We start from the raw sequence: 12,169 nt of genomic DNA, 5'->3' as shown, positions 1-12,169 counted from the left end.
TAAACTTACTAAAATTATTCCATTCTTAAAATGTGTACATAATGATACATCAATAAGGGTTTTAGGAAAAAAATAGTAGATATGAACATGCTTTGATAACTGAAAAGTGTGTGAAGTGAACATGCGTCTCTTACAGGTGAAAACATTAATAGTCATGCTGTGAGTCATTTTCTCTTTTCCCTGACTCAGTGGTCATGGGAGTAAGTATAACATCAGTACTTCCATCAGTCTGGGTGTCTTTGTGACTACAACGAGCAGAACCACCACACGGACCTGCACTGAACACGTGACATGGTCATGAAACAAACTGTTGTTGGATAAAGCCATTGGAGAAAACAATATAAATGAAAAAAATACACATGTGCAATTCATGTGAGAGGTATTCATGAAATGACAGTGCTTTTCATTATAACCCAGATTTTTTTGTATCCCCAAACAGCCTAATATTGAACATGGACTGGCTTTAGATTACTCATCTTATGTCACCAAATAATTAAGGCTTTGGCAATTTTATGGATAGAAAAAAAAGAATATTTTGCCTCATAGATACCACACAACCATGATATGAGAGAGTACATTTCACCTGCTTCCTTGATTTTTCCAACCTCATAGTCTTGTCACAATGAGAGAAAAAAAGCCAAGAGATATTTCGAGCTTCTAAAAATAATTAAAAAGTCAAACGAGGTGCAAATCAAAGGTATCTGTGTTTTATTCTAAAGTCAAAATTATTGATGCGACTTATTATTTAATGACTAATGCTTTGACATCCTCATTGCATAGCTGCAACTGAAAGTATTAGCATATTGTGATATATTGGAGGCAAGCATTTTGGTTTTTATATTTTGCATTTAATTCATAAAACGTTCTTTTCACTTACTGCTCCCTCTCTCCCCTGGCAAGGATAAACTCATGCACTGAACTTAGATCAGCTGTCAGAATCTGTGAGCTCTGAAAGGACCCTAAATTTGGCAGAATACCTTCCCCCTCACAAGAAATATTCCAAATGAACAAGCTGGAGTCTGGGCTTTCCACCCCTCACAACCCAAATTTTTCAAATCTTTAAACTCCTTCCTTCTCCCTTCAGCTCTCAAGGGGAATTACACTGATAAGGTTTCTGTTCATCAAAAGAATGGAATGGCAGTGGCTCTGCTATTCCCAGGACACCTCCTGCTGGAAAAGGGCGGCTTCTCCCCTGAGAAGCTATTATAAAGAACAGTTCTCCAGCTCCCATCAGGAATATATCACTCCACTTCAGTTATTGTTCCTGTGGATTCCTTTTCCTCCTCTCTCTCCCCCACCCTCAAGCAGTTTTTAAAATCCATTACCTAGGGAGTTTCAAATTGTATCTGACCTATTGATTCCAAGAGATGGCCGTGCTCAATGGGCATGCAATACAATATACAACCTGGAGCCCAGAAAAAGGCAACTTGCTGATGAAGGGAGGAGGACAGAACAGTAAACAACAATCTGGAATTTTTAGGGAAATGAAAGAAATATTTATTAAGTGTTCTGACTTGGGGTGAGAAAAGGAGAAAATGAGAAAATGAGATGGGGTATATGAAGAACCTTTGTAAAGCATAAAGCATTATGCAGATATAAGATAGTGTTTTCATTAATAATTTCAAATGTAATCTCAATTAGTTCAGGGCTACATCTCATGCCTATATTTCATCCAAATATCTATTCTGGATTTTAAGATGCTCTGTTGCTGGCTTATATCTATAATCAGAGGATATTTGAAAAGGAAGAGGGTATTATACCAAAAGCTGTTAGGTCTCACACTTTTGCAGTGCCTGGAAAAGGCTTTGTGGAAGGTAGCAGGAACACCTCAGAAGCAAACACTACTTAAACCACCCTGTGATGCAGAGCATCTATCAAAGAGAAGTCTGCAGGAAAGCTGCATCTTTTGCACTTTACACTGGATATAAGTGTGTGGTCTAAAATAACTGCTATGCCATGGTCCAAAGTATTGGATAATATAATTCTGTGTAATTCAACCAAATCTTTATTTCATGCTAATCTGTGACCCAATCGCTATGTTAGTGTGTCTGGGGATATTAAAAATATGTAAGACATATTTCACAACCTCAAGGAGTTAAGCATATAATTGAAGGAACTTACAATTAATTGAATTGGTTAAAAGGTGGGGTGGGGAGTGTTACAAATTTACCAGATTTATTTTTCCTTTTATTTCCTTTAATGTATTAGCTTGGACAATCAACAATTGTCATAGTTTGGAGGAAATGTGAATATGTACAAATACAATGGAGACACCAGCTTTTATACTGTGCCTCAAGCAACAAAGCCTTTTTCTCTGTTCTGCAGAATAAGTGTCGAGACATACAGGATTAGACATATAATGTGTGGCCACTCTCCAGTAACCACTATTGAACTTCAAAATGAGTTTAGTCATTAGCTTTGACAAATGAGGGGCCTGTTATTGATTTTTACACATGTCTATCATGGGATCTATTTAAAAAGAACAGTCAATTCTAAGAAAGATTATGTTAATCTTATTGGTTTGATTTAATAATCGGAGGAAGCAGAGCAGGGAGTGAAAAAGAGAGGCCCAGCAATTGGCAATATCTGTATCATTTTCTTAAATCAATTCAAAAAACAATTTGGAAAAAATCAAGTCTATCTGTGTTTCCTAAGAAAGCTAAGAATATATTGATAAATCATTCCAGACAATGTTAACCAACACCTTGAGAAGTTCACGAAAAAGGACATTGACAGGAGGGATACAATTACTAATTTATTTGTCTTTTTATGGTTCAGTTAAGAGTATCTTAGGTAGTCTAGCACATGGCAGCCCGTCAAACTTCACAGGGTAGCTGTCAGAATTTTGACTGATGTACAAGAGCTCCTTGCTCATGTTTGCCCTTCCTTTCAGTGGAGTGCACACAGGTAAGACAGCTTGTTGGTAATTTTTATTTAATGCTCCCAGGATCTGTGGCTACACTTTTATTGAAAGTTCTGACAATAAAATTTCACTCCCTGAAATTTCCAAGGTTTCTGCTGTGAGCACATCCCCACTTAAGATCTTCCTCTGGGATTAGACAACTCTTGAGGGTCTTTTCTGATGCCTTCTGATCTTGGAGACAGCTGTTTAGTATTTTGGATATGGTTTTATTTTGTTTTGTTTTTTGTTAGCTTTACTGGAAAGGCATCTAAAAGAAAAACAAAACAGAAGGAATTAGCAGTGCAAAGGCACATCAGGGCTTCAGGGAGGCCTTCATAATTCCGAATTGGCAAATGCCAACTTGAACCCAGTTTAAGAATTTTTAACCTTTTCTCCACTCCCTCTCTGTTCCTCAGCTTCAATCCAATCCACTCATTAAATGAAACTGCTCATTCCATACTAGTCCTGGATGTCAGTTCTAGAAATTTACTTTATTTTTCTAAACATTGAAAAAGGTTTTAGACTAGAAGACTCAAACAGGCTTGAGTCCTGGACTATTCGGTGTTGGATCAGAAGCCTTTAAATTATACGGGAACTACAGACCAGTGTTCACACCATTTTAAATGCTTGAGCAGATGTTTGAAAAAAGTAAATTGCAATATGGCCATAAAACACCTTAATGTACTAAGGGCAGCTGCCTAGTATACTTCGTCTTTACTCCATCATACAATGCGATATTCAGAGATGTATTATTGTATTTCAAAGTTCATGATCAAAGCTATCACAATTTGGTTACCAATGTGAAACCCAAAACTTGACCTGTATTTTCACACAAAGTTGGAATTGCTAGGGAATAAGGCTTGATTGGTAAATCTTTTGAAGGCACATTTTAACAGTTATTAGAGATAATTATTTTCTCCTAAGGCGCTAGTCATGTGGTACACTCTCATTGTAATCATATAACCTCTTATATTTGTGTAATTCCAACATTTTGGAATACTATCCCCAACAGCGTAATTATTATTTCAAAATAGGATACTTTATCACAACATTAAAATGTAGGAAGTATATAAACTCAGAGTAAGTGTAGTCCTTTAAATTGAATGTTTAGCTTTATCAAATCACTAATTTCATTGTTGTATCGGTCAAGATAAACTTGATTATTCTACAGAAAAAAATACCCTAAAACCTCAGGGCTTATAAAACAACAAAATGCATTCTTTGTTCAAGCCACACGTATACTGACTTTTTTGGTTTTCCTGTTTGTTTTTTGAGGGATTGATATGTTCTCCCCCAAGGATGAGAAGCCTGAAAAAGTAAAAACAGTAAGGCAGCCCACACATTGTAACTTAACATTTCTCAATGGAAGGAACACATATTGGGTCCAGAATTGGTGGGTTCTTGGTCTCACTGACTTCAAGAATGAAGCCGCGGACCGTCGCGGTGAGTGTTACAGCTCTTAAGGTGGCACGTCTGGAGTTTGTCCCCTCTGCTGTTGAGATGTGTTCATTGTTTTGTCCTTCTGGTGGATTCATGGTCTCGCTAGCTCAGAAGTGAAACTGCAGAGCTTCCTGGTGAGTGTTACAGCTCTTAAGGCAACGCGTCTGGAGTTGTTTGTTTTTCCCGTTGGGCTCGTGGTCTTGGTGGCTTCAGGAGTGAAGCTACAGATCTTCCCAATGAGTGTTACAGCTCATAAAAGCAATGTTGACCCAAAGAGTGAGCAGTAGCAAGATTTTTTGCAAAGAGCGAAAGAACAAAGCTTCCACAGCCTGGAAAGAGACCCGAGCGGGTTGCTACTGCTGGCTGGGGGCAGCCTGCTTTTATTGTCTTGTCTGGCCCCACCCACATCCTGCTGATTGGTAGAGCGAAGTGGTCTGTTTTGACAGGGTGCTGATTGGTGCGTTTACAATCCCTGAGCTGGATATAAAGACTCTCCATGTCCCCACCAGACTCAGGAGCCCAGCTGGCTTCACCCAGTGGATCCCGCACCGGGGCTGCAGGTGGAGCTGCCTGCCAGTCCGTGCCATGCGCTCGTACTCCTCAGCTCTTGGGCAGTGGATGGGACTGGGGGCCGTGGAGCAGGGGGCGGCATTCGTCGGGGAGGCTCAGGCTGCACAGGAACCCATGGAGGCGGGGGAAGGCTCAGGCATGGCGGGCTGCAGTCCGGAGGCCTGCCCCGCGGGAAGGCAGCTAAGGCCCGGCGAGAAATCGAGCGCAGCACCGGTGGAATGGCACTGCTGGGGGACCCAGTACACCCTCCGCAGCGGCTGGCCCGGGTGCTAAGCCCCTCACTGCCCGGGGCCGTCAGGGCCGGCCGGCCGCTCCGAGTGCGGGGCCCGCCAAGCCCACGCCCACCCGGAACTCCAGCTGGCCCGCAAGGGACTGCACGCAGCCCCAGTTCCCGCTCGCGCCTCTCCCTCCACACCTCCCTGCAAGCTGAGGGAGTGGGCTCCAGCCTTGGCCAGCCCAGAAAGGGGCTCCCACAGTGCAGTGGTGGGCTGAAGGGCTCCTCAAATGCCGCCAAAGTGGGAGCCCAGGCAGAGGAGGTGCGGAGAGCAAGCGAGGGCTCTGAGGACTGCCAGCACACTGTCACCTCTCAATATCACCTCCACCCATGTTTATAGTCCAAAGCGAACCACATGACTCAGCTCTAGTTCCACAGGGCAGGAGTTTATAAAACTCTTGCATTGAGTGACTGGATATTAGTGGACATTACCTAGACACATTTTTCGTTGTAAAAATGAAGAAGCCCCAGTGATTTTTCCATCTCTGCCTCCTAAGTGGCTATTACACCAATGGGCCTATAGTAGAAGTTACTACTTGAATTAGGTTTCAAACCCACATTTTCTGACTTCCAATTCATGTTCCTTCCCATAGCAAAACCTATCTCCCTAGTGCTGTGATTCTTTTAAACGTGTACAAAGATAAAGATAAAAAGTATATTTATAAAGAAGTCAGAATGCAAGGAGTGCTCCTACATCTTTATCTTTTTGTTTCAGTACCATCCCCTAAGGTAATTATGTCAGGTGTTTTACCCTGACTTTGGATTTAAGGAAACTAAGTTTTAGCAAGAAAGTAGCTTACCTAAGATCCTATAATAATTGGTAGAGCAAGACTCCTGTCTGAATCCCTGAATCCTGTTGTGTTCGGAGTCCTGGTGTTTGCCAGCCATCTGGGTGGCAGCAGGCCCTGGAGTGAGCAACGCACCCTTAAGATCTACTACCCTGCATCTGTTTCAGGTTTGCTTGTGTTCAAACTTTTTTGTTGTGAACTTCTTTTCAATCCTTTGCCCTGACTTTTCTCGCACTGTAGTGGGGAGATACTAAAGCTCATATCAAACTAGAGATGCGCAACACGTTTTCCTTATGATGTGAGCTTGTGACGTCACTATAGGCCAAGGCAAAGCAAATTCAGAAGCTGCTTACAGAAGCAATGTCCCACATCGTTTGATTTCAAGCTTTTTGTGAAACTTACTAAAATTAGGGTCTAAAATATTATTTCTGACAATTACATTGACTTTTCATGTTTTTAAAATTCCTTGATTTTTTTTTTTTTTATCGGTGGAGTTTTTTTTACATTTCACTCTAAGTTCTGGGATACATGTGCTGAACGTGCAGGTTTGTTACATAGGTGCAGCAAACCACCATGGCACATGTATACCTATCAACCTGTCATCTAGGTTTTAAGCCCAGCAGGCATTATTCGTCCTAATGCTCTCCCTCCCTTTCCGCCCCCCAGCCCCCGATAGGCCTCGGTGTGTTTCCTTCCTTGTGTTGATTTTTTAATCATAATCATACAGGCTCCTCACCCTCCTTGTTTCTGTCTTACATTAATATGTTTATTGGCTGAGTAACATTCAAACTTATCCCACTTTTACTGAGAGGTACTAGGATACTGATTGTAAAGCATAGGCAAAAATAATTCAGTTCTCCTTTCTAAATTTCCACTGATATTCAGCTGTCTACATGATACCAAAATGTTGTCTCTTTTGTCAGCCCACCAAATGCTCCCTGAGATTCTGCTACAGCATAAAAACAAGTTTTTGGATCTTCAGAGAGAATGTTTGCCTGACCTTGCCCCAAAAGTATACAAAGATCAGATAGACATATTAGAAATAAGCCTACATATTTTTATATTTTAGTTGTAGATACAAAAGTATCTAACATTTTCTTAGAAATTAGAAATTTCTAAGTTATTTTACCCTGATAGGAATGTGGTTGTTTTAGGTCTTGAAGGATTATTGGTTACCCTGTGGTTTCTGTGAAGTCCAGATGTTTTCAAGATGGTGTTATGTGTGAAAATCATATATTTAGAAAGATTCGAGCTCTTAGACATTCCCTGGAGGTAAATAAGTTTAACACTTTGAGGTTCAAATGAGAATACAGATATTTACATAAGATTTTGCAAAATATATCATTTTAGTTATGTTTATAATCTCTATATAGTTATTTTAATATTTTAATAGTGCACAAATTAAAATGTAATTAAGTAATGTGATAATCAAAATGTTAATTTATTCAATGAAAATTGAAATGATTTCAGTCAAAGTTGATTTCATTTTTGAGAATATTTTGAAGTCATCAGTGTTTTGGAAAATAGAAAATTCACCTTAATGTGAGTTAAAATTACTGTTTCTTTCTTAACTGTAAAATGGTATGACAGTATCTCTCAAACCAACATGAAGATTAGGTACACTGTAGTTAACACAGTGGTAATTCTGCTGACATTAGTTTAGAAATTCTTATAGATTAATATTCAGCTGTCATTAATATTCAACAAATCCAGTAACACTTTCTCACTTATTGAACTTGACTTTTCTAGCATGTCTGACACAGTTTACCATCCATTTCTTCTTGAACGTTTCTCTTTCTTCTTTTATATATATATATATATATATATATATATATATATATATATATATATATATATATATTTTTTTTTTTTTTTTTTTTTTGAGACAGAGTCTTACTCTGTCACCCAGCCTGGAGTGCAGTGGCGCAATCTCGGCTCACTGCAACCTCCTTCTCCGGGGTTCAAGTGATTCTCCTGCCTCAGCCTCTTAAGTAGCTAGGACTACAGGCATATGCCACTATGCCTGGCTAATTTTTTTGTATTTTTAGTAGAGACAGGGTTTCACCATGTTGGCCAGACTGGTCTCGAACTCCTGACCTCAGGTGATCCGCCCGTCTCGGCCTCCCAAAGTGCTGGGATTACAGGCGTGAGCCACCAGGCATGGATGAACATTTCTCTTACACAAACTTCACGAAACTGAACTAGCCTACTTTTGCTCTTACAACTCGCATCCCTGATTGCTCTTTATTTTCTCCTCAGATTTCTCTTCCTCTCGTATAACATACACATAATGGATTTTTCAAGTCTTGATTTTCTTTCTACAATGTCTTTGTTTTTTCAAACTTTAAGTCCAGGGGTACATGTGCAGGATGTGCAAGTTTGTTACATAGGTAAATGTATGCCAGGGTGGGTTGCCTCACAGATCATCCTATTACCCAGGTATTAAACCCAGCATCTGGTAACTATTCTTCCTGATGTTCTTCCTTCTCCCACCCTCCCCCGACCTTCTGACAGGTTCCAGTGTGTGTTGTTCCCTCAATGTGTCCATGTGTTCTCATCATTCAGCTCCCAATTATATGTGAGAACACACAGCATTTGGTTTTCTGTTCCTGTGTTAGTTTGCTGAGGATGATGGCTTCCAGCTTCATCTATGTCCCTGCAAAGGACATGATCTATTCCTTTTTATGGCTGCATAGTATTCCATGGTGTATATGCACCACATTTTCTTTATCCAGTTTATCATTGATGGGCATTTGGGTTGGTTCCATGTCTTTGCTATTGTGAATAGTGCTGCAATAAACATATGTGTGCATGTATCTTTTTAATAGAATAATTTATCTTCTTTGGGTATATACCCAGCAATGGGATTGCTGGGTTGAATGGTATTTCAGCCTCTAGGTCTTTGAGGAATTGCCACACTGTCTTCCACAATGGCTAAACTAATTTACACTCCCACCAACAGTGTAAAAGCATTCCTTTTTCTCTACAACCTCACCAGCATCTGTTATTTTCTGACTTTTTAGTAATAGTCACTTTGACTGGTGTGAATGGAATCTAATTAAACTAAAGAGCTCCTGCACAGCCAAAGAAACTATCAATAGAGTAAACAGACAACCTACAGAATGGAAGAAAATTTTTGCAATCTATCCATCTGACAAAGGTCTAATATCCAGCATCTATAAGGAACTTAAACAAATTTACAAGAAAAAAAACAAACAATCCCACTAAAAAGTGGGCAAAGGACATCAACAGACACTTCTCAAAAGAAGACATACATGCTGCCAACAAACATATGGAAAAAAGCTCAACATCACTGATCATTAGAGAAATGCAAATCTTCAACATCTTAGTATTTAGTTACTCTATGGAAGTGATTATCTTCAGTTCCAAATTTGCTGTTTCTGCTGGACATTCTTGTAAAAGTTGTCTGAACTTTAAATGTGACATTCCAAATATAATTTTTATTGTCTCTCCCACTACCAAATTTAAAAGCAGAAGCTCTCACAGACATTCACGTTTCCGCCAATGCTATTGCTAGTCACCTAGTTATCTAGGCTGGAAGTCTTAGCCCTCAATTTTACAAACCTCTCACTATGAAAGTATTCTCACTCTAAGTTGTTAAATTTAGTGTTCTAACTCTAAACTATCACTTGAATTTATTTTCTTCTCCTACTTTTTCTGCAAATTCATTTTCTTCACCTTAACTTGGACTGCTGAATAGACCCCTAACCAATCTCCCTACTTCTAGTCTTTCACTTTGCTAGTCCATCCATCATACCACATCTACACCAACCATCTCATCATTCCATCCTTCTGCTTGGGAAAACCAAACAAGAAAAATATGCTCCCTACTACCTGGACAACAAAGCCCCAAATTCCTAACCTCATTTTATTGATCCACCTTTTCTCTCATCTTCACCTATTCCTTCTTTCTCTAACCTATTTTTTTAATCTATATCTGCTACTATTCTTATGCATATAATCTGTTTTTATCAATAAAAATTACCCCATATTTTCTGACTGTAACTTGCAATTCCCTACCTTACACCTTTGACAAGTTTTTGTGCCAGAAATAGCACAGAGTAGGGGCAGATTGGACCACTTTCTTATCCTTGCCTGCTGGCCAGTTTGCCCCCTAAATACATAAAACCCAGGTGAAAACGGGAGGACTGTTGGGAGGCTGAGGCGGGCAGATCACGAGGTCAGGAGATCGAGACCATCCTGGCTAACATGGTGAAACCCCATCTCTACTAAAAATAACAAAAATTAACCAGGTGTGGCGGCGGGCACCTGTAGTCCCAGCTACTCGGGAGGCTGAGGCAGGAGAATGGCGTGAACCCTGGAGGCGGAGCTTGCAGTGAGCCGAGATTGCACCACTGCACTCCAGCCTGGGTGACAGAGAGCCAGACTCCGTCTCAAAAAACAACCAACCAACCAAACCAACAAAAAACGGAGGACCAGTATTGAAAATACAACTTCAAGGAAAGGCTCTATCTTTGAAGCCCCTGACAGTAACATTGTCATAGGTAAGTCTGCCTCATATGGATATATTTAAAGCAACCACTCTTTTGATACCTTCCTGTGCTATTCAGTCTGAACTCAAATTCTAACACACCCATTTAACTTTCTTTTATTCTTTAAATTGAAAGAATTTCTCCAAGCACTTCTATTGCATTTTATTAACTTCTCTAAGGAGCTATTTTCCATTATAGTATTATATTGTTTTATGTACCGACCTTACCCTTCATTTCTAGTTTATAAACAAGGTGAAGAGAATCTTTATAACAATCATTTCTGTATATTCCATATAACCTAACAAAGGCATTCAAATATATGAACTATTTGCATCCGCTTAACTAAATTTTTTATAGTAGTAGGAGTCAAGCTAGATTCTCTCCATTTTTAATCTGGTCCATTTTATTTGGTTTTTGTCCTGACATTATAAACCAGTAATTATTTATATTTTCATTTCACAAAGACATTGCATTGTGTCTATTATTTGACCTCTTCTCTACTGATCAAATTTATTTTGTTTTAAAGTTATTATATACTTCCTTAATATGTACTGCATCTTTATGGAGAAATGTATATACATACATACATATCCATACACACACACTTAAATAAACATATGTATATCTCTATATATGTCTATGTTCTGACTACTAGGATTTTGTGAGATGAAACATTTCTTGGAATCCATGACAATGATTTGTGTGTTTAACTTTTTGTGTCCTGTCAGTACATTACTCAATGCTGGATGCATAGTCAGTGCTTTATGTTTAGTATCCATTTTCAGTAAATTATTATATTTTTTGAAAACTCAAAATGTGGAGCACTGATCAGTCTTGTATATGTGTACATGAATTACAGCAATTTTTAATATCTGTATGTGGGAACTAAAAGCGGGATTGCTTTCCACTTCTCAGTTACACATGATCTCCAAGTCACACATAAAGCAGGAAAAATATTTAAATAACATTTGGGGAAGGCAATTTCCCCCCCAAAATCACACTGAGGAATCTGCACAATGCCTTGCACAGCTATGAACTTAGAGTTATCCTAAAGCTGTCAAACATCTGCATCTTTCACATCTGGGGCAGCATCTGTTCTGTGTTGTTAGAAGAAAACAACAAAATTGGGGTAAATGCCACAGCACAATATGAAATTCTACAAATCTAACAAATGTATTTATTTATCGTCGATCAAGTGGCCAAAAAGCGGTGTGAGGCCCATACTAAGATGCTTGATAATTGCATTTCTCAATTCCCTTTAGAAAACGCTATACTCCAGGCCTGGGAATAACAAGCTTTTGCATAACAACACTGGGGCCTATAAATAAGAAACTCATTAAGCTACCTGTAGCAGGCCTCTACCCCAGCCCTGCACTGGCTTGGGGAGCTTAATGAGGTGATAATGAGGAGAAAATGGTTTAGCTCCTTTTTGGCCTGGTTTGTGATGGGTAGCGAAATCCCAGTCTTCAGTGAAACAGCCACCATAGAGCCCAATTCATCATTCAGGGTGGGTCTATACCAGAGAAATAATTTGCTTCTAGGCCCCGAAGTTATTTGGCTCTCCTGTCTATGGAAACAAAGCAAGCTATTCATTCACATTTGAAGGGACTGTCCGAATAACACCAATAACGGGTGTTAAACTAGCTGGTCATTAGCATTTGAAGGGAATGGTCAAATAACA

General features: G+C 39.4%; 1 long non-coding RNA gene across 1 annotated transcript; it reads right to left on the bottom strand.

Annotated features, from left to right (window-relative positions):
* Window positions 1-2,742: 2,742 nt before the first annotated feature.
* LINC02853 (long intergenic non-protein coding RNA 2853) lies at window positions 2,743-6,243 on the bottom strand. The gene is made up of 2 exons (NR_184053.1): window positions 5,987-6,243; window positions 2,743-3,170 (listed from the first exon to the last, which is right to left on the bottom strand). It is a non-coding gene; the product is annotated as a long intergenic non-protein coding RNA 2853 (long non-coding RNA).
* Between the last annotated feature and the right edge of the window lie 5,926 nt (window positions 6,244-12,169).

This window comes from Homo sapiens, chromosome 15 (assembly GCF_000001405.40).
Source record: "Homo sapiens chromosome 15, GRCh38.p14 Primary Assembly".
NCBI classification, from domain to species: Eukaryota; Metazoa; Chordata; class Mammalia; order Primates; family Hominidae; genus Homo; species Homo sapiens.
This window is presented reverse-complemented; position numbering and strand designations above follow the sequence as displayed.